General features: G+C 42.9%; 5 annotated features.

Annotated features, from left to right (window-relative positions):
- Positions 215 to 354: a silencer, noted in NCBI's record as "fragment chr1:67945137-67945276 (GRCh37/hg19 assembly coordinates)". NCBI's record gives its function as "represses an EF-1alpha promoter that drives an FKBP-Casp9 reporter gene in an ReSE screen in HepG2 liver carcinoma cells {active_cell/tissue: HepG2}" and the evidence as "EXISTENCE:reporter gene assay evidence [ECO:0000049][PMID:32094911]".
- Positions 1,887 to 2,069: a silencer, noted in NCBI's record as "fragment chr1:67943422-67943604 (GRCh37/hg19 assembly coordinates)". NCBI's record gives its function as "represses an EF-1alpha promoter that drives an FKBP-Casp9 reporter gene in an ReSE screen in HepG2 liver carcinoma cells and phorbol 12-myristate 13-acetate-treated (for megakaryocytic differentiation) K562 erythroleukemia cells {active_cell/tissue: HepG2 | K562(+PMA)}" and the evidence as "EXISTENCE:reporter gene assay evidence [ECO:0000049][PMID:32094911]".
- Positions 6,015 to 6,215: a silencer, noted in NCBI's record as "peak278 fragment used in MPRA reporter construct". NCBI's record gives its function as "represses an SCP1 promoter by STARR-seq MPRAs in K562 erythroleukemia cells {active_cell/tissue: K562}" and the evidence as "EXISTENCE:reporter gene assay evidence [ECO:0000049][PMID:32103011]".
- Positions 18,096 to 18,596: an enhancer, noted in NCBI's record as "H3K4me1 hESC enhancer chr1:67926895-67927395 (GRCh37/hg19 assembly coordinates)". NCBI's record gives its function as "activates a minimal SCP1, AML or CMV promoter by ChIP-STARR-seq in primed H9 embryonic stem cells {active_cell/tissue: H9 hESC(primed)}" and the evidence as "EXISTENCE:reporter gene assay evidence [ECO:0000049][PMID:30033119]".
- Positions 20,274 to 21,197: an enhancer, noted in NCBI's record as "OCT4-NANOG hESC enhancer chr1:67924294-67925217 (GRCh37/hg19 assembly coordinates)". NCBI's record gives its function as "activates a minimal SCP1, AML or CMV promoter by ChIP-STARR-seq in naive and primed H9 embryonic stem cells {active_cell/tissue: H9 hESC(naive and primed)}" and the evidence as "EXISTENCE:reporter gene assay evidence [ECO:0000049][PMID:30033119]".

Genomic DNA, 25,428 nt, shown 5'->3' with positions numbered 1-25,428 from the left:
CCCCTCTCCATCCTGGGTGCACCTCTGAATGCACTTCAGATGATCAATATTGAGGAGGGATGTGGGCCCCAGGAGAGTGGCCTCAGGGCTGTCTCTAAAAGATCTCCGTCCCCCAGCCCCTCAAATGCACACATGCTCCTCGGAGGGAAAACGACAGATTAACCCAACTGCTTCAAATTAATTTTGTTTGGAAGAGCAAGGGGAAGAAGATTTCCAAACAGGGCCAAGGACTTTGTCAAAGCTGTTCCTCTAAGATAGAGATGGACAACCGGCTGGCCTGGACAGAGGCCAGCTGGGAGGTGTAACCCCAGCCAGGGACCTGAGCTCAGCACTGGCTCCTCCTCTTGGGAGGTAAGAAGGAAAAGCTGGTTTTCTCAGTAGAGATAAGTACATGGTGTGTGGTCAAGGAAAAAAATAAAACTTCTCCTTATATCTGGCCCAGGCTATAACTCACGGCTCCAGTGGGGACATAGGCCTCCCTCACTCCACTCTCACTGTTGGAGTCCCGGTGGCAGTGGACTGCCCCTCCCCTCCACGGTGTGAGGCTACCAGATGGAAGCACGTGGTTTCCAGGTTTTACTTGCTCAGGACTTTCTGAATCATTTTCTTTTATGGGTCTGAGTGGTGGAGGAACAGGGGGTAAGAGGCAGTGTGGAAAACATCATTTTTTTATCTCAATTAGACTTTGTTTTCTGCAGGATGACAGTTGAAACTCTCTTCAGTTGCTTACTGTTTGGCCATATTTAATGAGGATTACACCCAAGGACTGCTTTGGAAATAGGTCTCCTCATTTGTTTCATTAAAAAACATTTATAAAAGTAAGACCTGCTCAACAAAGGAAAAAAACATCAACCCTAGTTCACCACCCAAAAGCAACCTTCATTAACACTTTGGTGGGGTTCTTGTCGGAGTTTATGTCAGAGCTTTTCATCTCTTTTCTAAATAAGTATAATCGTAGTTGTACAATACATAATTCCAAATCATGCATACACTTTATGAACATTTCTCCCATTAGTATATACTTTACACAAACATACTTACAACTTTTATTAAGATATAATTCCCATATCATATAATTCATGCATTTAAAGTATATAATGTAATGGTTTTTAGTAGAAACACAGAATTGTGTGACCATCACCACGATCAATTTTAGAACATTTTTGTAACCCTGCAAAGAAACCTCACACCCATTAGCAGCCACGCTCCACTCCCATCCTGCCCTACCCCCAGTCCCAGGCAACCACTAATCTATCTTCCATCTCAAAGATCTGCCTACTCTAGACATTTCATATCCATGGAATTACAGTCTTCCCACATAACGATGTCTTAGTCAACAACAAACCACATATATGACAGTGATCCCATAAGATTCTAAGGGAACTGAAAAATTCCAGAGCTGGATGGAGCTGAAAAATTCATCTAGTGCCATTGTAGCAGTCATAATGTCATATTGCAACACATTACTCAGGTGTTTGTGGTGATATTGGTGTAAACAAACCTATTGTGCTGCCAGTTCTATAAAAGTATAGCACATACAATTTGTACAGTATGTAATACCTAATAGTAAGTGACTATGTTAATGGTTTATGTATTTACTATACCTTTTTTTTTTTTTGAGACAGAGTCTCACTCTGTCACCCAGGCTGCAGTGCAATGGCTCAGTCTCAGCTTACTGCAACCTCTGCCTCCTGGGCTCCAACCATCCCCCTGCCTTAGCCTCCCAAGTAGCTGGGACTACAGGCATGTGCCACCATGCAGGGCTAATTTTTTTTTTTTTTTTTTTGAGATGGAGTCTCACTCTGTTACCCAGGCTGGAGTGCAGTAGCGTGATCTCGGCTCACTGCAAGCTCCACCTCCTGGGTTCACACCATTCTCCTACTTCAGCCTCCCTAGTAGCTGGGACTACAGGTGCCCGCCACCACACATGGCTAATTTTTTGTATTTTTGTATTTTTTGTATTTTTAGTAACATGGGGTTTCACCATGTTAGCCAAGATGGTCTTGATCTCCTGACCTCGTGATCCGCCTGCCTCGGCCTCCCAAAGTGCTGGGATTACAGGCGTGAGCCACCACGCCTGGCACAGGGCTAATTTTTTTTTTTGTATTTTTTGTAGAGACAAAGTTTCACGATGTTGACCAGGCTGGTCTTGAATTCCTCTGGCTCAAGTGATTTGCCCTCTAACCTCCCAAAGTGCTGGGATTACAGGTGTGAGCCATGGCAACTGGCCTATACTATACTTTTGATCATTATTTTAGAGTGTACTCTACTTATAAAATATATATTTTTTACATATATGTAAAATCTGGTTACAAGTTCCTTATTAGATAAACAATTTGCAAATATTTTCTCCCATTCTGTAGACTGTCTTTTCGTTGTTTTGTGGTGTCCTTTGAAGCACAAAAACTTTTAAACTTTGATGAAATACAGCTTGTGTACTTTTTTTCTCTTATTGCTTGTGATTTTGGTGTCATACCTAAAAGGCTTTGCCTAACCCAAGGTCACAAACATTTACTCTTATATTTCTTTTTTTTTTTTTTGAGATGGGGGCTCACTCTGTCACCCGAGCTGGAATGCAGTGGCGTGATCTCAGCTCACTGCAACCTCCGTCTCCCAGGCTTAAGCAATCCTCTAATCTCAGCCTCCCAAGTAGCTGGGACTACAGGCACACACCACTATGCCCAGCTAACATTTTGCATTATTTCGTAAAGACAGGGTTTATGCAATGTTGCTCAGACTGGTCTCAAACTCCTGAGCTCCTGCCTTGGCCTCCCAGAGTGCTGGGATTACAGGCATGAGCCACTGCCCCCAGTGACTCCTATATTTCTTTTGAGAGGTTTATAGTTTTAGTTCTTACGTTTAGGTCTGTGATCCATTTCAAGTTAATCTTTGTGTATGGTGTGAGAAAGGGGTTCAATGTCATTCTTTCACATGTGAATATGGATGTGTTTTTTAATGACTGAAAAATATGCCATTGATTTGAAGATATTGTAATCTTTCTAATTTGGGGATGCTATAATAAATTCCATGAAGACTTTACATCTATAATTATTTTTTTTCTGTTTTTTAAGAGACAGCATCTCCCTCTGTCACTCAGGCTGGAGTGCAGTGATGTGATCATAGCTCACTGTAACCTTGAACTGCTGGGCTCAGGCGATCCTCCTGGCTCAGCCTCCCAAGTATCTATGACTACAAGCACACATCACCACATCTGGATAATTTTTAATTCTTTTTGCAGAGATGGTGTCTCACTATGTTGCCCAGGCTGGTCTCAAACTCCTGGCCTCAAGTGATCCTTCTCCCTTGACCTCCTAAAGTGCTGGGATTATAGGCATGAGACACCACACCTGGCCAATTTTTTCAAATAAATCAATAAAACCTAGAAAAACCAATAAATGAGTATATAACAATCTAGAAATGGAACTGTCAAGCAAAGGGAATAAGCACATTAAAGGTGCTTAACATGTGCCAGCAAATTGCTTTCTCAAAGGGTTTTATTGATTTACAATGCCTGTGGCAATATATGTAAAAGCTCTTTTTTTCCTTTTTGCCGTAATTGCAAGGGATTTAGTATGTTTTTAAGTCCTTGCTAACTTGATTAGCAAACATTTCCCTCACTAGTTTGTTTTCCAGTTTCTTACTCTGTGAATTTTCTGATTCTGTCCTCCCCCACATCTGTTTTGCTTGCCCCTTTGTTTGAACTCCTTACCTGACCCATCTCATTTTTGGCTCCCTAGCCTTCATCACCCTGCAGCGTACTGATGGAAAGTTCCTCCACTGTGAAAACCTGCAAAGGCTTAAGTTGGGTTTTTTCCAAAACATGTTTCAGTTTATTTTTTTTTAAACAACTGTTCCCACTGTTCACCTTGCAGTATTTCATTTAGGCTCAGCTCAAATAACACCTCTTTGGACCATTCATACTAAAATAGGAGGCCCTTCTTTCCCCAGTTTATTCTGATTACATGGCTTGGCTTTCCAATCTTCTCACCACTTCTCCCTATCTAAACTTCTCTTGCTTCTTTATTGGTTGACTTGTTTATTGTCTGTCTCTCCCCCTAGAATTGCAGTTCTATAAGAGTAAGAACATTATCTTTCATGCCCACTTCTATGTCCCCAGTGCCTGGCACATAGGAAGAAAGGCTAATAAATCTTTTTGCTGAATGAATGATGAAATGACTAAATGAAAAATATAATCACAGATGTGTGTTCCTGATTTTATGTAATATAAATGATCTTAGAAATATGAGTTTAAGTCGAATTTTATAAAAATTAAACTGTAAGAGAAAAACTACACTGTATTATACCTATTTTATACCTATTACACCAAATTAAACCATATTAAGAGGCCAGGTGTGGTGGCTCATGCCTGTAATCTTAGCACTTTGGGAGGCTGAGGCGGGTGGATCATTTGAGGTCAGGAGTTCAAGACCAGCCTGGCCAACATGGTGAAACCCCATCTCTACTTAAAAAAATACAAAAATTAGCCAGGCATGGTGGTACACACCTGTATTCCCAGCTACTCAGGAGGCTGAGGCAGGAGAATTGCTTGAACCCGGGAGGTGGAGGTCGCAGTGAGCCGAGATTGTGCCACTGCACTCCAGCCTGGGCGACAGAGCAAGACTCTGTCTCAAGAAAAAAAATAAAAAATAAAGTCAGTTAAACCTAGAGCATCTTAATGCTTTAGGGCTACGCTGCCCAATGTGGTACCCACTAGCCACCTGTTGTTATTGAGCATTTGAAATGTGGCCAGCCCAAATTGCCAAGTTCTGTAAGTGTAAAATATATACCAGATTTTGAAGACTTCACAGCAAGAAGAATGTAAAATATCTCAATAATCTTTTTATATTGGAATGATATTTTGGATATACTGAGTTAACATATATTATTAAAATTAATTTTACCTTTTTTTACATTTTAAAATGTGTCTACTGTAAAATTTTAAATTACATATGTGGCTATGTGGCTCACTTAATATTTCTTTTTCTTTTTTTTCTTTTCCTTTGAGGCAGAGTCTTGCTCCGTCATCCAGGTTGGAGTGCAGAGGCACCATCTTGCCTCTCTGCAACCTCCGCCTCCTGGGTTCAAGCGATTCTCCTGCTTCAGCCTCCTGTGTAGCTGGGACTACAAGTGCGAATCACCATGCCCAGCTAATTTTTTTATTTTTAGTAGAGACGGGGTTTCACCATGTTGGCCAACCTGGTCTCGAAGTCCTGACCTCAAGTGATCCACCCTCCTCGGCTTCCCAAAGTGCTGGGATTACCAGTGTGAGCCACAGTGCCCGGCCATTCACTTGATATTTCTAATAGGCAGCTCTGCTCTAGGACAACTGACCATTCAGGAGTGGTTGATACACCTGTATCTCAACCCTTTGGGAGGCCAAGGTGGAAGGATGGCTTGAGGCCAGGAGTTCATAGACCAGCCTGGGCAACAAAGCAAGACTGTGTCTCTACTAAAGATAAAATAATTAGCCAGATGTGATGGTGCACACCTGTAGTCCCAGCTCCAAGGGAGGCTGAGGCAGGAGGATTGCTTGAGCCCAGGAGTTCAAAGCTGCAGTGAGCTACAATCACACCACTGCACTCTAGCCTGGGTAACAGAGTGAGACCCTATCTCTAACCAAATAAATAAATAAGTAAAAGAGGGCCGGGCACTGTGGCTCACGCCTGTAATCCCAAACCTTTGGGAGGGTGAGGGGGGTGGACAGCTTGAGGCCAGGAGTTCGAGACCAGCCTGGCCAACATGGTGAAACCCTGCCTCTACTAAAAATACAAAAATTAGCTGGGCGTGGTGGCAGTCACCTGTAATCTTAGCTACTTGGGAGGCTGAGGCAGGAAAATCACTTGAACCTGGGAGGCGGAGGTTGCAGTGAGCCAAGATTGCACCATTGCACTCCAGCCTGGACGACAGAGCGAGACTCCGTCTCTAAATAAATAAATAATAAAAGAAATTTTTATTGTGACTTTTTTTGACTAGCAAATCTCTACCTATTAATTTATCTTTTAGGCAGAGGCAGAAAGGGAGGTTGGAACTTACAGTGGTTTAGGAATTAAGGCAGGCTGGGTTTGGTCCCTGCTGTGTCATTAACTGTCAGTGTGACCATAAGCAAATCTTTTAATCTCTCTGGGGCAGAAAGGTCCTCATCTGCTCAATGAGGGGGTTGAACTAATGAGTTCTATAGACCCTCTTAGCATCAGTTATTCTATTCTAGCCTTTCATCAGATTGTCTTAAAGCAAGGTAGAGCTACAGAGCATAGATGGAGTCCATCTTCCTTCAGAGAATCAGAGGCCTTATACCATACCCAGGTGACTAACTACGAAGACACTATTTTGACAGAATGGATTTCTGGCAAAATTGAGAAGCAGACTGAACATGTCTTTATAACCCTTCCAGCATCCTTTCTGTCTCTGTCCCTTTGCCCTAGACTTAAAGGCTTTTCCGGCCGGGTGCGGTGGCTCACGCCTGTAATCCTAGCACTTTGGGAGGCCGAGGCGGGCGGATCACTTGAGTCCAGGAGTTCAAGACCAGCCTGGCCAACATGGCGAAACCCCATCTCTACTAAAAATACAAAAAGTTAGCCGGGAATGGTGGCAGGTGCCTATAATCCCAGCTACTCGGGAGGCTGAGGCAGGAGAATTGCTTGAACACGGGGGACGGAGGTTGCAGTGAGCTGAGATTATGCCACTTCACTCCAGCATGAGCAAAAGAGCGAAACTCCGTCTAAAAAACAAAGAAAGAAAGAAAGAAAGAGAGAGAAAGGAAGGAAGGAAGAAAGAAAGGAAGAAAAGAAAGGCTTTCCCTTCCTCTCCAAGGTACTTATGGCTTCTACTTGGCACCTGACTTTTTCTGTGCACCATAATATTTTTGGCCTTTTGCTTTCTTTTAGAAACTTATCAGTCCTGTGATCTGTGCTTCAAAGTTCTTATTGTTGACTCACTAATTAATTCAACTTTACAAATAACATTTATGCCTGATAAAGAACTTACATGCATTGTCTCGCTTTAGCTCACATAAACCCTGAGAGATAGTTACCACTCTCATCTCTAAGGTACAGGTGGAAAACTTGAAGCACAGAGAGGTTAAATACCTTACCCAAAGCCACACAGCTAGTTAGTGGTTGAGCCAGACTTTGACCCTAGGCTATCAGACTTCAGAACCATTGGGGTGGCTAGTTAATCTGATCCATGTAATCACTTCAAGGTAAAAGTGGTTGATAGGGCCTGATGTTACTATTCTAGATAATGACCTCAGCCCAAAGTTGTGACTAGTTCTGGGTACCATGACAAAATTGGTACAGTAGAGGAGCTATTTTGGGGTCAGCTGCCATTGTTTTCCCTCCCTCAAAGTGTATTGTTTTGATCTATATTGTATCTACACTAAATAGGTACAAGCCTGGCACAGAGTAAGTGCTCAAGAAATGGTGGTTTTTCTGTCCTCATTTCCTTGGCCCCCAGGCAGATGCTCTATTAACATCAGTGAAGAACTTTACTGATGGTCTATCAGCTTCACTAACAGCCTAATCATAAGAGCTACCTCCTGAGTGCAGTCTGCTGCCAGGAACTGGGCCAAGGACTTCATACGCCCTGCCTCATAAACTCTTGCCAATCTCATCACATACCTGAGAAGTCAGTCTTTAAACACATTGTCGAATCACATATTAAAACAACCTGGAAAGCAGATCCTGTTCCACATACACTAGATCATGTTATTACCCTTCTGCTCAAACCCTCCAGTGGCTTCTCAGCTCCTTTAGAGTAAAATCTAAAGGCTTTACATGGGCTAAAATGTTCCAGCCACCTCAGACTTCTCACTCTTCCTCAAACATTCACTACAAGCATACCACCCACCTTGGAGTCCTTGTACCTGCTGTCTTCCCTACCTGGACTCTACACTTAGAGATGGCGCCACTGCACTCCAGCCTGGGCAACAGAGCGAGACTCCGTCTCAAAAACAAAACAAAAAAAAAAAAGAAAAAAGAAAAAGAACTTTGGCTGTCTTTGTTCACTGCTGTATTTGTTTCCAGAGCCTTCAGTTGCACATTGCCCAAAAAGTATTTGTTGAAGGAAAGGAAGGAGTAAGAGAGGAAGGTGGGGAGGAAAGAGTGAACTATTAATATCTTCATTTCTTTGATAAAGAGTCAGATTGTTGGCCGGGGCGCGGTGGCTTACGCCTCTAATCCCAGCACTTTAGGAGGCAAAGGTGGGCGGATCACGAGGTCAGGAGATAGAAACCACCCTGGCCAACAAAGTGAAACCCTGTCTCTACTAAAAATACAAAAATTAGCTGGGCATGGCAGCGCATGCCTGTAATCCCAGCTACTTGGGAGGCTGAGGCAGGAGAATCGCTTGAACCTGGGAGGCAGAGGTTGCAGTGAGCCGAGATCACGCCACTGAACTCCAGCCTGGTGACAGAGCTAGACTCTATGTTAAAAAAAAAAAAAAAAAAAAAAAAAAAGAGTCAGAGAGTTAAGCAACTTGCTCAACTTTACATAGCCAGTTACATGGCAAAGCAGATATCTAAGACTTCTTCTCTCAACTACTATCTTACTCTGCAATTAAATACCACCTTATACATACTTGAGCATTAGAGAGTTTATTTGCAAAGTTAAATGACTTTTAAAATAAAGGAGGCCTAAGTAGATGTCATTTATAGATTATTTGCTTTAAAAATAATAATAATTGGCCAGGCGCAATGGCTCACGCCTGTAATCCTGGCACTTTGGGAAGCTGAGGCAGTAGAATTCCTTGATCCCAGGAGTTTGAGACCAGCCTGAGCAACATAGCAAAACCTCATGTCTACAAAAAATACTCTAAAATTAGCCAAGTCTGGTATCATCCACCTATAGTTTCAGCTACTTGGGAGGCTGAGGTGGGAGACTGAGCTCCCAGACGTCAAGGCTGCAGTGAGCTAGGATCATGCTGCTGCTCTCCAGCTTGGGGGACAGAGTACGATCCTGTCTCAAATAAGTAAATTAATTAAACACACACACACAAAAACACAAAAAACAACACACACATTCTGGGTGAAAACACAGTTAGAACTGCTTGAATGCCATAGTTGGTCTTGGTTTAGTACCTTATTTTCATTCCCCCCCTTTTTTTTTTTTTTTTGAGATGGAGTCTCGTCTGTTACCCAGGCTGGAGTGCAATGGTGGGATCTCAGCTCACTGCAACCTCCCCGACCTGGGTTCAAGCATTCTCCTCCCTCAGCCTCCTGAGTAGCTGGGATTACAGGTGCCCACCACCATGCCTGGCTAATTTTTGTATTTTTAGTAGAGACGGTGTTTCACCATGTTGACCAGGCTGGTCTCGAACTCCTGACCTCAGGTCATCCACTTACCTCGGCCTCCCAAAGTGCTGGGATTACAGGCGTGAGCCACCGTGCCTGGCCCATTCCTTTTTTTTTTTTTTTTTTTTTTTTGAGATGGAATCTTGCTCTGTCGTACAGGCTGGAGTGCAATGGCATGATCTCAGCTCACTGCAACCTCCGACCCCCGGGTTCAAACTATTCTCCTGCCTCAATCTCCTGAGTAGCTGGGACTACAGGTGCATGCCACCATGCCTGGCTAATTTTTGTATTTTTAGTAGAGACGGGGTTTCACCATGTTGGTCAGGCTGGTTTCCAACTCCTGACTTTGTGATCTGCCCGCCTTAGCCTCCCAAAGTGCTGGGATTACAGGTGTGAGCCACCACGCCTGGCCTTCATTCCTTTTTATATACACTTAAAAGGCATGGAATAATCCTTTTTTCTGTGAGATGGGGCATTTGTTACAAATGCCTGGGCTTAGGACTTATCTGAAGGCCACAATCCAGGCATCTTCTCAGAATGCTGATCTACTCTTTTTATTTGGTCCAAGGTAATAAAAGCCTTTAGATATCCAATTTGTAAGTCTGTAACATGATTGGGAATTGGAGGCTGGATATTATCCTTTTTCACTCTTTTCAGTTTGTAGTAAACAAAAAGTGAAATGCAATGCCCAAAATACATAAACCAGAGAACAGAAATGCTAGAAAGCCCTTTAGGGAGCATCTGGTCCACCCCCTCATTTTCCAGATGAGGAACATAAGTCCCTGGGAGGTGAATTTCCACATATATAATAATCGTGTTTGACATTTACTTTTAAATTTAGCATGGAGATATGCCAAATGAGCCAAAAAGCTGAGAATATATGGCCAAAAAATTACATGTGTTTCCTCAGGAACTGCACTGAATCATAACATCAGTTTTCTTCTCAAGTCTCTAAAATCTGAGTCCCACTAAAAATGATCTCACACCTCAGAAGGGAATAAACCTGTGGGACTCTTAACCTCGTGTTATACAAACTGGCCAGATATTGGCACTCCTTATGTATCCTGGATCGCTTGATTCAACCACCAATCTTTGTTGAGCTCCGTCTCTGTTCAGGCGTGTTGACCACACTGCAGATATGAGGGTTTTGTCCTTCAGCCAGATCTGAATTCGAGTCTAGAGGCAGTCTATGTAACTGCAGTGAGATCCTCTGCACAGGAAGCTTATTAGCATGGATGACCAGAGACAAATCTAAACAATTTATTTTCCTTTGTTTTCCCCCATCCCATCATTCTCATATTCTCCACTTTTCCTCTTTTACCCTTCCTTTCTTTCTTCCTAATAAAAAAATAAATACATATTTGATGTAAAATAATCTGGAAAGAACAGTTAAGGACTGACAACATTATGTCTATAATTCCAAACTTTCACACTTTCATGTGTGGCACTTAAAATTTCATTAATTGGGAAAACAAGGCTGTTTGGGAATAATTCAGAACCTTGGATTCGATGTCATTAAACAGAACCTCCTCCACACGTTCCCAGGTCCCACGCTGAGAAAGAATCTTCGCATGGATAGTTGAGTCTAGGATGAGACATTGTAATGGTCATACTGAAAATACACTACATCAGGTTATGTTGAGATTGCACTTATGGTAGGGGAGATAGAAAGGTTTAAGGCCAAGTCACGGTTAAGCCCCTTGGGGCTTTGGGCCCTGACTGACAGGGTTAGAATCTCATCTCTATTACTTTAGACAGGTAGGTTACTAAACCCCACAGAGCCTCCTCTAATGAAGACAAAAATCCCTTCTCTGTAGTAAGATTGGAAGCATCCCATGGGATGGGCCTGCAGATCCGAGTGCAGAGCCAGGTACATAGTGTGTCCTCACTCTACATGAACCATTTTTGTACAGTGGCCTTTGGTGCAGTCTCATGGCAACCAGAACTGAAGGAAGAGTCAGGAAAGACTGGTTTCCTGCTCTGAATCATCCACATTTTCTGCTGGCAACTTCATGGCAGTTTATTTATGGAACCCTGGCTGGAATCAGGCACAGCCTGCCCACTGCCCCAGGCTTAGGAAGCCAGGGCAGCAGCTGCCTGGGGTGCAAAGACATCTCCGTGGGCTGCCCTGACCCAGTTGTCCCTTCCCTCACCCCTACATGCTGTCCAGATGAAATCCGGTGAAAATGAGTCAGGACACCAAGGAGCAGGGGGAATAGAGGGCCCAGAGGGACATTTGGCAGCCTGGGGAGAGGGTGGTATGGAGCCAGGAAAGGGACTCCCACCTCCATGGCTCTAGCAATAGAGCAAGAAAGGAAAACCAAGTCAGTCTGCTGGTTCCTATGACAGGAAAGGGGCCTCCCAAGTTAGAGCCCTCAGGAAATCAGCTTAGAAAATTAGGCACGGCTTAATTTGTTAAATTATTGGAAGGATAAAGATACCAGGCAAGGGTCTTCAGGTATCTTGGGAGAGGGGGTGGCCGGTGGCACACCCTCTGCAGAGAGAGATTCAAATAAACACGTTTCTTCTTCTGTTGTCTGTTTTTCAGTGGAAAGGAAAAACACATACATACCCTGCACTCCATAATAAGAGGTTTGGTCTGTGCCTCTCTGACTTCCTAAAAACAGCCACAGGGAGCAGACAGACTCCTTGGATTACTCTTTTTTTTTTTTTTTTTTTTTTTTTTTGAGGTGGAGTCTCACTCTGTCGCCCAGGCTAGAGTGCAGTGGCGTGATCTCGGCCCACTGCAACCTCTGCCTCCCAGGTGCAAGCGATTATCCTGCCTCAGCCTCCTGAGTAGCTGGGATTAAAGGCACCCACCAACATGCCTGGTTAATTTTTGTATTTTTAGTAGAGATAGGGTTTCGCCGTGTTGGCCAGTCTGGTCTCGAACTCCTGACCTCAGGCAATCTGCCCGCCTCGGCCTCCCAAAGTGCTGGGATTACAGGCATGAGCCACTGCACCCGGCCTCTGATTACTCTCGACCTTGGGAATTGACCCTTGGAAATGCATTCTACTTCAAGATCTGAGAAAATAAAACCCAACTCAACCCAACGATGGCTTGTGAAAGACAGTTTGTTTCTTCTGGGGACCCTATTTCTCTTCTCTAATCCATTGCCACTCCATAGTTAAGATAACTTTTATAAACACACACACACACACGCACCCCAGATCATCCCTCCTCCAGTGAAAACTCTTTACAGCTTCCTACTGTCCCTAGATTAAAATCCACACAACAAACTGTGGACAATAAGGTCTTAAATGATCCAGTGCTTGCCCACCTCTCAGACCTCATCCCATACCACTCCCTGGCTATTCATTACATTCCAACTACCCTGGCCTTGTTCTTCTTCCTGCCAGACTTGTTACCACTTAGGGCCTTTGTACCCGCTGTTTTCTGGGTTTGAAATGCTCTTCCCCCTGATTTTTGCATGGCTAACTTCTTCTTGCCTTTGGTATCCCACTTAAATGTCACCTTCTCAAGGAGGCCTTCCTGAACCACCCAATCTGCAGTGCCCACTCTGTCACTTACCGACACTTAACGTTATGTGGCATCTTTCTTGCATACTTGTTTGCTGATGATTGTCACTCCTACAAAACATAAGCTCTATGTTCACAGGGCCCTATTTGTCCTGTCCACCTCTGTATCCACAGAGTCTAGTGTATTGCCTATCACACAGCAGAGCTCAAACTGACAAGAAGAATGAAACTCTGCTGGAGGGCAGTGGTGTGATATTGGCTCACTGCAGCCTCTGCCTTCTGGGTTCAAGTGATACTCCTGCCTCAGTCTCCTGAGTAGCTAGGATTACAGGTGTGTGCCACAACACCCGGCTAATTTTTTATATTTTTGTAGAGACAGAGTTTCCCCATGTTGGCCTGGCTGGTCTTGAACTTCTGGCCTCAAGTGATCCGCCTGCCTCAGCTTCCCAAAATGCTGGGATTACAGGTGTATGCTACCATTCCCAGCCAAGAAGAATGAAATTTTTATCCTCCTGTTCTTCCCACCAACCCAACCATCTTTGATGACTTCATCTTCTACTTCAGTGACATTTGATCACTTCCCATCTTCCTTCTACACAGCACAGCGTAGCCATCCAGGTACAGCATAGTCATATTCCAGCCTTCATCATCATAATCTGGGGCTCTCATTCAACCATCTCCAGCTTGGAATTTCTCTGTTCTTCAAAACCCCCATCTTTTCCAAGCCTCCTTTACCCCACCTCCATGAAAGCAGACAATCCAATTGCTCCATTTTCCTCACATCTCCAAGCCATTAGCCTTCTCTTGACTTGATTCCCGGCACAGATTTTGGCATCATGGCTAAGAACACAGGGTTGTATCCACAGCAGTGATCAGAGTTTGAGGTCTCTTTGTAAGGGCTGAATGTAAGGCACAATGCTTGGCACAGTGTAAGTGTTCACTAAATGTTAGCCAATCTTACTACTACCACTATTATGATTTAGGTTTCTTCTTGCCTCTGCCTCCTACCCTTTCTTCTCCCTCTCCCCTTCCACTTGCATTTGGTTAGTTTTACTCTCCTTGGTTCACTTATATGAGGTGAAGCTGGGATCTCACCAGGTCTTCTTGGTGATGATACAGAGTTCTGATGCGTAAAACCAGTTCTGTGCAGGTTGGAGAAGAGCTGAGGAATTTCCACACTCCCTGGGAATCATACACACTAACCTCACTATAGTCCCAGGGCTCTGGCTGTCTGGTTTCTGCAGGTGGGCCTCTAAAGCTGTTGGTGGGGATAGAGGCTCCCCGAGCAGGGTGGGTTGGGATGATGTACACCTGTGTTTTCCCTTATTGGCTGCTCAAGAAGCCAGTGTTTACCTGTTTTCATCATCAACTCAGGGCTTACTATAATCCCTTCAATTTTTTAGTCATTCTTGTTCAAGGTCTCAAGCATCCGGAGAGGCAGTCCTTGGAAATGATTGTCATTCCTGGCCTGGTTCCCTGTAAGGAAGAAGAGTAAGGCGAACACAAACAGGAAGCTGCCTAGGTCTTTGGCTGTGGTTCTGTGACCAAGGCAAACTGAAATTGTGAGATCCTTTCCTTGCCTCGCCTCAGATATATCTCAGATCCCAATAGTGAAGAATTTTTAACTTGAAAAAGTCCAATTTTATTTTGAAATGATTAGTACCTATAATATACCAGATTCTCAAATTTTGTTAAGAGAATGTACAGATGAGTGAATAAAGGAACTCAGAAATGGATATGACTAGAGACCTTGCTACTACAAAGGACTGGCAAGTCCGGAGTAACCAGGGTCACTCTATAAAACTAACTAGTGATTTCCATAAACACTGTGAGCACACACTATGTGCAGACACTGTGCTAGATGCTGGGGGTTCAGGGGGAAGCAAGGCAGGCCCAGCCCTGCTCTCATAGTTTCAAGTCCAGCAGAGCATTCAGGCAAGGATGGTATAGGATGACAGGTGCTACGGCCAGTAGGCAAAATGCAGAGCAATCTCTCTGGAAGCACATGTGGGAGGCAACTAACCCAGACCCGGAGCACCAGGCTGGTGGAGGGCTTCTTGGGGCACAACGTGATGCCCCAGTTGAGGCTTGATGGATGAATGAGTCAGCCAGGTGGCAGGAGGGGAAGCGAGGTCAAGGGAAAGTATCTCAGTCAAAGCCAAGAGTGTGTGCAAAGGATAAAAGATGAGAGAGTGGGTGTTGCTCTGCTGGAACTCAGAAGCAGCCTGTTAGGGCTCCACGGCCAGAGGTTCTGGTTTCATTGGTCTTGGATAGAGCCCAGCCTTGGGTATGTTTTAAAAGCTTCCCAGGTGACTTTAATGTGCAGCCAGGTTGAGATGAGAGCCACTGGACCAGAACATAGATGAAAGGGAGGGAATGATGAAAAGTGAGGCTGGAGAAGTAAGCTTGGCACATTACGCTGGGCCTGGAAGGCCATGTCAAGGAGCTTGAGTTTTCTTCCCTAAGGACTGAAAAGCTATTTAAACATTTGAGCAAGGAAATCCGTGGCCTGATCAGACTTGCAAACTTCAGAACATCCCTGTTGTGGAACATGGATTGGTGGGGGGAGGGCTGGAGTAGGAGTGAGAAAACCAGTTGGAAGGCTCTTGCAATAATTCAGGTAAAAGATAATCACACCCTGAATTTAGCTAGTGGCAGCGGGGATGGAGAGAAGTAGATAAATTCCAGAGATATTGAGGAAGTACAATTGCTAAGGCTTGATGAAAGATGGGCTGTAGGAGGGAGATTTCAAGGGCCATCCCTTTGTTTAGATGACTGGGTGGATGAAGTGTCATTCACTAAGATAGAGATCACTGGAAAGAAAGTACCAGAAGGAGGGCAGAAGCTGGTTTGTGGATATGTGGATGAGGACATCCACCTGGAACCTGTTGAGTTAGAGGTGACAGTGGGACATCCAGGTAAGACAAGCGGTGGACAGATGATAGCTTAGACCAGAGATGAGACATCTAGATTCAGGATAGAGATGTAGAAGTCATCAGAAAAGGCTGGGAAAAAATGAGATCACTCAGGTGAGAGAGTGTGGACTGGGAAGAGGAAAATAGGTTCATAGAATCTCGTAAGTCGTTCACTTCCTCCAGGTAGACAGCCCTAAACCCATTAAAGGTAATTATGCTAAGTGGTGAAGTGACTTGTCCTAGCTAGTCCTCTTCAAGTATATGAGCTGGCTTACATTCAGCCAGTATGAACCCCTGCTGCTGGCCTACATTCAGCCTGTCGCTGTCAGTGCAATTGGATCAAGCTGATTTGCAATGAAAAGCAGCTGGCAGTTGTGTCGTGTACCTATGGAGCTTGGCTGCGGGAAGCAGTTCCAGATTCCGTGGCTCTGCTCAGAGGTTTCTAAATACAGTGGTAGTTACGTGTTAGACATATGAGGCATTTTAAAGAAAGCAGGTCTGAATCATCTGAGAATAAGAATATTCAGCAAGTAGCTCAATGCAAAGGTCCTGGGAAAAATTTACTGTGGAGAGGGAAGGATGGGTAGGCAGCTAGTAATGCTTTTATTCTAGGCTCTGTGCAATGGTGATTCTATTTTTGGTTTTTGGTCTGCATAGATCTAAGTTCCCAGTTATGCCCTCAGATGCCAGAATCAACCTCTGTTGTATTGCAAATAAAGACGACAAAGTGCTTTTACGTTATGTTTCATTTACTCCTAACAACAAGCCTATAAAGTAAATAAGGCAGATGTTAGCCCCATTTTAAAGATGAGGAAACCAAGATTCAAGCTAATTAGCTGGCCCCAAATTGCAAAAATATATATATAAATGTGCTAAGGATCTAATCCAGTTTCACAATCCAAATCTACTCCAACTTCCCAACTGTGGCGTTTACCTCTTTAAAAAGGGGCTTTCTCTTTTTAACCCACTCTAGAGAAAGCTTCAGAAGGGGAGAGGAGGCTGGGCGCAGTAGCTCAGGCCTGTAATCCCAGCACTTTGGGAGGCTGAGGTGGGTGGATCATGAGGTCAGGAGTTCAAGACCAGCCTGGCCAACATGGTGAAACCCCCTCTCTACTAAAAATACAAAAATTAGCTGGGCATGGTGGTGTGTGCCTGTAATCCCAGCTACTGAGGAGTCTGAGGCAGGAGAATCGCTTGAACCCAGGAGGCGGAGGTTGCAATGAGCCACTGCATTCTCACCTGGGTGACACAGTGAGACTCCGTCTCCAAAAAAAAAAAAAAAAAAGTGGGGGTGCGGGATGGGAAGATTTGGAGAGAAGCTTAGCTTAGCAGACACCTTCTGTTATTACTGTGTTTGTGACTTTTTCTTTTGCACTAAATCTTACCCCAGCACAAATTACACAGGCCTACTACCAAAAAGATTGAAGAAAGTTGTCTGGGCCAGGCATGGTAGCTCACGTTTGTAATCTCAGCACTTTGGGAGGCCAAGATAGGAAAACAGCTTAAGCCCAGGAGTTTGAGATCAGCCTGAGCAGTATAGAAAGGTCCTGTCTCTACCAAAAAAAAAAAAAAGGAAAGTTGTTCAGATGTTCAGAGTGGGTTGATGGGTTAGGGAACCCACTTCTAAAAGAATTATAGACCCACAGGACTGAAAAAGACCAATGGGTAATTTACTTTAATCCCTGTCTTGCAGATGGGAGAAAGTGAGGGCGTAAAAAGAATGTAACTCATGCATGCTCATATAGCCAACTGTGGCGAAACAGAGACCAGAACCCTCACCTGCTGATGTATGCCCAGAAGACAAAGTGAAGATGAGCTCAGTCTCAGAGCACTGAGACAAACAAAGTGAAAAATATGTGGGGGAATAAAGAGCTGACCTAAAAGAAACATAAACACTCTGCTACACATTCCTCTTGTCTTTGGCACACATCTTCATGGGACTCTGATTGAGAAAGTTAATTAGAAAAATTATTATGGTACTCTCTTTCTCTTGTCATTTATTTAAGTCATAGGAGGAAGTAGGTGGAAGTGCCTAGAAGGTAGAGTGGGTGGAACTGGGAAATTGCTCTGTAAGATTTAGTTGGTGACAATGGGATTGTTGGTTCCACCAGTTTATTATTCACTAGTCACTAGAATTATCCATAATAATAGCTTGCATTTGTATAGGATATTCTAACTTATAAAAGGCTTTTATGACATTGTCTCATTTGATCTCACTGACAACCTTGTAAGCTAGACAAGGCAGGTATAATTATCCCACTTTATGAATGAGAAAACTGAGACTTAGAGAAGTTCAACGACTTGCACACTCAGTCATTAAACTAGAGTCTGAACAAGAAACCAGGTGTTCTTACTTAGAAAGCTTCAACTTTACCAAGGTCATATGGCTAAGCAGGACTTGAATCCCAGTGAGGCCATCTCCAGAGCCTATGCTCTTAACCACCGTGTTCTGCTAGTCATTTAACAGACATTTGTTGAGTGTGTCTTATTTACTTAGTTCCTTGCTCTTTATAAATACAATCCAGGTGCTCTCGCTAAGGCAGGTATTCATTAATGAAGGCATGTTTGGTAAATGCTTCTAGTACCTTCTCCCATGCCTCAGCAACTCATTTGACCGCAGAAGCAAACACAAGCTGTGGCCTAATCCCAGAGTCCCCACAAGCAGTAATTGCAGAGAAGTTGAGCCAAGAGGAGACTGACTCGCAGCCCAAAGCTACCCGCTCAGGTCCCCTGAGCCTGCAGGCTTTGGGCTAATGGGAAGCGGGTGTGGTCCATTTACAGCCTGGATCCAATAGGAAGTGAGGAGGCTAGATGAAAACTTTTTTTCACAAGAGTTGCTGTGTTGTCCTCCCCGTTACCCTGTTGGCATTTTTTCTTAAAACCCAGTAGCAGCTGTTGGCTAGTTTTGAAAATTGTCCAACCTTAGTAGAGCCTGTCCCCAAGCACGCAGGGCCTCCTTGGGGCTGGACCCTGGGGCCAGGCAGCTTGCCCAGGCAGCTCCATAAATAGCACCTGTGATACGTGCAAAAAGAGGTGAATCAGGGAGGGCTGCTGGTACTCCTCAGTGATGGTAAGCCAGTGAGTCTCAACAGCGAGTCTCGGATAAAGGCAGTTCCTATTACACATGTCTAACACTGAGGATCTAAAAATCAGTTCATATTAGGAATGGTTTAAGACTTTCTTTTTTCCTCATTCCTTCACTCCTCTTTCTCCCAGCCCTCTAGTAACATGCCTTTTCCATCATGTCTGTCAGATGATATTGTATAAGAATCCAGACTGAGTTTTTCTGACTATTTATAGAAGACAGTTGTGCTGCGTTAGCCACTACAGGAACTAAAGTTTGGTTCTGGGTTATGTGACATGAGAAAAACTTACAGAAATGTGTTTGTTCTCAAATGTGCCTATCCCATCCTTGTCCTATCACATCAAACAGGCCTGTTGGAATAACACATTGCTCTACTATGTCCTTTTATAATTAAATTTTTTTCTGATTTTCAAAGCATGTTTATACTAGTTAAAAGTTTCAAAGACTATAATGTATATAGTCTTTTACATTTTGGGGTTTGTTTGTTTGTTTGTTTTGAGATGGTGTCTCACTCTGTTGCCCAGGCTGGAGTGCAGTGGCGCGATCTCGGCTCACTGAAACCTCCACCTCCCGGGTTCAAGCAATTCTCATGCCTCAGCCTCCCAAGTAGCTGGAATAACAGACACACGCCACCATGCCTGGCTAATCTGTGTATTTTTAGTAGAGATTGGGTTTCACCATGTTGGCCAGGCAGGTCTCGAACTCAAGTGATCCACCCACCTTGGCCTCCCAAAGTTCTGGGATTATAGGCATGAGCCACCATGCTGGCCTATCTTTTACATTTTTAGCTATATAATGTACAGCTTGTTAATCTTTCACCCAGAGGTAACAACTGCTAATAGTCAATGTGTTTTTTAGTTTAGGGGCTCCTGAACTGATGGGAAAGGTAAAGAGCACTGACAGTGGTTATAGAAAGGAGGTGGCAAATGCAAACATGTTTCTAAATAGAACCAATGGGATGTTAGGGGAAGAGGAAGGTGAAGAAAATTAGCCCCAATCTTTTAGCCTGGGCGACTGGGAAGGTGTCTTGTGAAATAACCCAGAGGCCACATGCCAAAAGATAGAACTAGGAAAGATATCTAGTCTGTTAGGCTTGCTGGTCATTTTGTATCAATTATTATCATCCAGGAGTCACAATTACAAATGATTAAAAGCCTACAGCTGGCCTCACAGATATGCTGTTTAATATTTCAAACTCAGACCACTTCAGCATCCCAACAGGATTTAGAAGCTGAGACGCAAGGGGAAAGTTCAAACGTAGAAGTGACTGACTCATCTATTGGAGGAGATGAAAGTTTTCAATCATCGCCTCCAATCAGCTGCTTGGAACATTTTAGCTCTGGAGTCCACATTTTCTATGAAGTCACCCATCACCATCTCAAGGTTTAAACACTCTTTAATAAATTCAAAATCAGCTTCAAGAAAATGCTCAGAGCTCTAATTTAAGCCAAATGTACACCTTAAAGCTAAAGTAAGAGGTAGACTGTTTCTAAGTTAGAAATGTGACTTTGTCAGTCTACGTGGGTGCTACATCATCTAATAATGACAGCAGACCACGAGTCAAACTTTTTGATCCCATCACTCTTGCCACTATTTAATGTTGCTGACACTCATTTTGTGGTGTGTATAACCAGGAAAATTCTAGTTTTAGGGCCTGACAAACAGGTCCCACTAGTCTTTCCTTTTCTTAATGTACAATCCTGGCAGGTAGCACACACTATTAAGTAGACTATAATAATGCTGGTTGCTATGCACCTTGAGTGAGGCTGGTGAGGTTAAGTCAGCCATGGGTCCTGCTGACTTCACAGTGGGAGGGTAATTGCCGCTGACTCGCAGCCCTGGCTCCCCCAGGCTTTGAGTCCCTCTGGTGAGGTTTTTGATGGGGGTGATGATTGCTGTATCTGTACTTGCCTTGCTTTTTAATTATCAAAAAAGAAAAATAAAAGCGCAGAGATAATGTTATTGTTGCTGCTACATGGTTCTTTACTTCATTTAGTTTGTCATTTTAGGTTTTTAACATTGTCTTTACTAAAGCTCAAATTTTCTCACCATAGCTCCAAGGAGTAGAATGAGGATCAACGAGAAAAAAAGGAAATGGCAAGTTTTAGCATTTCTAAAGGCACCAGCCAAAGACTGAAAGTAATCTCATGAATACTGAGTTCTCTCTTTCTAACAGGAGTCAGGTATAAGCAGTGTGACCTATTGTTAGGATGTGGTCATCTGAATAGAGAGGCCTGGGATAAAGTCATATGTTACTTAGGCAAGGCAAACTGGCTGACCATCTAGCAAGTTTACCAAAGGGTGGCATCACTTGAACATAGTCACCAGATTTCTTGGAAGGGTTATCCTCTTTGTGGGCTCACACATTAAATTACAAGTACACTAAGAGACAAAAAACACTAAGATACTAATTTACCAAACTCACGAGAGACACGTGTATAAAAACAAGAGAGCCATTTACTTACTCCCATTGAGAAATATAACTACGTAGGATATTGGATATATCAGCCAATTGACTGCATTATCAATTGTGAAGGAAAAGAATGAGATGTAAACACATCTACAGAATCTTGGAAATACATTGTCAAGACTGTGTATAGTTAGGGATTTTATTGTACTTTAGGAATAAAATCAGCCTTATGTAAGACTATTGACAGATTTTCTCATGCTGGCATTTAGAAACGTGTTTTCAACTTTTGACTATACCTATGTTTCCAAAAATATATTTGCCTTTATGTGTTTAGTAGAAATGCTTGTTTTGGGGGATTCACAGCTTCTCTCTTAGTTCACCTCCTCAGTTACTAAACTTAGTCTTACATTTTGATTCATACTAATGCTCTTCTCAGAGGATTTTGAGTCCATTCTTTGTTTGTTTGTTAGGTTTTGGTTTTGTCTTTGAGATAGGGTCTTGTTCTGTCCCCCAGGCTGGAGTGCAGTGGTATGATCATGGCTCACTGCAGCCTTGACCCCCTGGGCTCAAGCAATCCTCCTGCCTCTCAGCCTCTCGAGTAGCTGGGACTACAGGTGTGCACTACCATACCTGGCTAATTTTTTATTTTTTGTAGAGAGAGGGTCTCACTATGTTGCCCACACTGGTCTCGTACTCCTCCAGGCCCACCTCAGCCTCCCAAAGTGCTGGGATTACAGGCATGAACCTACTGCACCTGGCCAAGTTGAGTTGGTTCTGAGAAAAACTTATAGCTCAACCCCATGTTAACTATAGGGTATTTAGGTTTTAAGTGGGAAGCCACACTAGATGACCTTTATTGTCCTTCTGAATTGAGGTTTTATGGTTCTATGAATAGAGCAGGGGAAAGAGAGATGCATGGGAAAAGTTGGAGAGTTGAGGCAGGGGAATAAGAGGAGGCCAGAGGCCAGATCTGATTTAATTAACTAAAGAAGTTATCTTTACCAAACTGGACAGAGATATGGAATTGTGTATGTTGAATTTTCTCTACTTTCATTGTTTATTGGCAAATGCTACTTTTGGCAGCTATATATCCAGGGAGGCTCTTCTGTGAGACAAACTAGGCAGTTGCTCAGAATTGTGCCTGTGCAGTGGCCCCCATTGTGTAACGGCCCAGGTACCTTGCATAAGATCACTAAAAACACTTCCCAACTCCATGCAGGAACTGGTTTGGCCTCAATTCCATTTAGCTAAGTAGCTTGTTCTGTCCAGTAATTCATTTATTCAAATAACTTTTACTGAGCACTGAGCCAGATGCTAGCATAGAAAAATAAGGAAGATTGTTTCCACCCACAATCTAAGGAAGAAGAAAGATGCACAAATAATGGTTTTAAAATAGAAAGTTTAGTGTTTTGCAAAAGGAACATGAAAAATGCTGGGGGATTCAGAGGACAGAGATATACCTCCAAGTACTGCTTTAGTTGTATCCTGCAAAGTTTGATATGTTGCACTTTCATTTATTTCAATGAATTTTTTAAAAGTTCTCTTAAGACTTCCTTTTTGACCCAGGAATATTTATATGGATGTAGTTTTGCTTTCAAGTGTTTGGAGATGTTTCTGTTATCTTTTTGTTATTCTACTTATATTTCATTGTGATTAGATAACACATTTTGTATGTTTTCATTTCTTTTAAATTTGTCAAAGTTTTATGGCCCAACGGATCACGAGGTCGGGAGATCGAGACCATCCTGGCTAACACGGTGAAACCCTGTCTCTACTAAAAATACAAAAAATTAGCCAGGCACGGTGGCGGGTGCCTGTAGTCCCAGCTACTCAGGAGACTGAGGCAGGAGAATGGCGTGAACCCAGGAGGTGGAGCTTGCAGTGAGCCGAGATCGCACCATTGCACTCCAGCCTGGGAGACAGCGAGACTCCAGCCCAAAAAAAAAAAAAAAAAAAAAAAAAAAAGTCTTATGGCCCAGGATGTCGCCTATCTGTATATATGATCCATGGACAATTGAAAAGTTTGTTTACTCTGTTGTTATGGGGTGGGACAGTCTATAAACATCAGTTAGAGCCTGTTGATAGATGATATTGTTGAGTCCTTGTTAATTTTTTGTCTACTTATTATATTGGTTGTTGAAAGAGGTGTACTGAAGTCTCCAATTATAATTGCTAATTTGTCTATTTCTCTTCTCAATTTTGTCAGTTTTTGCTTCACATATCTTATAGCCCCGTTGTTTGGTGCACACACATTTAGGATTGTTATGTCTTCTTGATGTAATCCTCTTGGTATAGTGTTCCTTTTATCATTATACATTATCCCTCTCTCTCTCTCCCTCTCTCTTTAATAACTTTTTTTGTGCTGCAGTCTACTTTATCTGATATTATTATGGCCCACTCTTTCTTTGGATTAATATTTACATGATAACATTTTTTCTATCTTTTTACTTTCAACCTGTCTCTGTCATTATATTTGAAGTAAGTTTTGTTTTTGTTTTGTGCTAACATGCTCAGCTAATTTGTTTTGTTGTTGCTGTTGTTGTTGTTTTTCTTTTTTGGTAGAGATGAGGTCTCACTATGTTGCCCAGGTTTGAAGTAAGTTGTTTATAGACAACACTTAGTTGAATCACGATTTTTAATTCAGTTTTCCACTCTCTGTTATTTGATTGGTGTATGTAGATCATTTACACTTAACGTAATCAGTAACATGTTAGGTCTTAAGTTTGTCATTTTATCTTTGTTTTCTGTTTGTTCTGTCTGTTGTCATTTCTGTTTTCTCTGTTTTCTTTTTTATACCTTCCCATGAGCTACTTGAACATTTTTGATAATTCCATTTTGATTAATCTATAGTGCTTTTGAGTATGTCTCTTTGTATAAGCTTTTTAGCGCTTGCTTTTGGTAGCAATATTAAATACACATAACATATCTACTGGCATCATCTTTTTACTAGTTTGAATGATATAAGTGATTGAATCAGGTGAAGTTCTTTCCAAAGTCTTTAGTATTTAACAATAACACGTCACTTGAGAAGGTCTTGATGTCATAGAGGCCCAGATTTCTAACCTTCCTCAGGTCTTCAGAGGTGGCTGTCTATGAAATCCAGGCTGTCAACTCCATAGGAAAAGGAAATGTACTGAAATGTTCACCTAAAAAGCTATCAGTTATCCATGCTGGTGAGCAAAGGGAAGACTAAATAATTAAAATTCAAATGGAGCTTCCCAAATTCCAAATGTTAGCTGCATATGCCAATTTGTTAAAGTTTTAAGAGGAAGGCTTAAAAATAGCAAAATTGAATTACTCAAAAATTTCACCTGATTATTTTATTCTCTTGCTAACTTTTTTTTTTTTTTTTTTAGACAGAGTCTTGCTCTGTTGCCCAGGCTGGAGTGCAACGGTGTGATCTCGGCTCACTGCAACACCTCCTGGGTTCAAGCAATCCTCCACCTCAGCCTCCCGAGTAGCTGGGATTACAGGCACCCACCACCACGCCCTGCTAATTTTTGTATTTTTAGTAGAGATGGGGTTTCACCATCTTGACCAGGCTGGTCTTGAGCTCCTGACCTCGTGATCCACCCGCCTCAGCCTCCCAAAGTGCTGGGATTACAGGACTGAGCCACCATGCTCAGCCTCTTGCTAACATTTTATGTAAAAAATGAAATGGATCATAAACGACTCACACTGTACTTTGAGTAAAGCTGTATGAATTGGCTATTTGGACTTTTGGAAGATGTTGAAACTTAAATGTCAGAGAGCTGTAAGGTTGAATCTCAGCTTTGCCACTTGCTGTCTATGTGACATTAGATAAATTACTTAACTTTTTGGATACCTTGTTTCCTAATTTGCAAAGGTTAATCACTTTTCCTGCATATAAATTATGAAAAAAGCCTAGCCGAGAGAAGGTGATCAGCAAAAATGAGTTCCCTTGCTATGCTCCTGTTGACTTTTCACAGAGAAAAAGCAAATATCTCTGTTTCCCAACTCCATGCAGGAATTGGTTTCAGTGTATGTGTATTTCCAAACTAGACCTCTCTCACCAACCAAGGTTTGTATTTATTTATAGCATCTTGATGCATAGGCACGAGGTGGCTATCAGAGAGCAGAAAGGTATGCTAAATAGTTAATATTTTTGTAGCAGTAGAGAAGGCCCTTCTTGGCCAGGCGTGGTGGCTTATGCCTGTAATCCCAGCACTTTGGGAGGCTGAGGTGGGCAGATTACTTGAGCCTAGGAGTTCGAGACCAGCCTAGGCAACAT

Source organism: Homo sapiens, chromosome 1, assembly GCF_000001405.40.
Source record: "Homo sapiens chromosome 1, GRCh38.p14 Primary Assembly".
NCBI classification, from domain to species: domain Eukaryota; kingdom Metazoa; phylum Chordata; class Mammalia; order Primates; family Hominidae; genus Homo; species Homo sapiens.
This window is presented reverse-complemented; position numbering and strand designations above follow the sequence as displayed.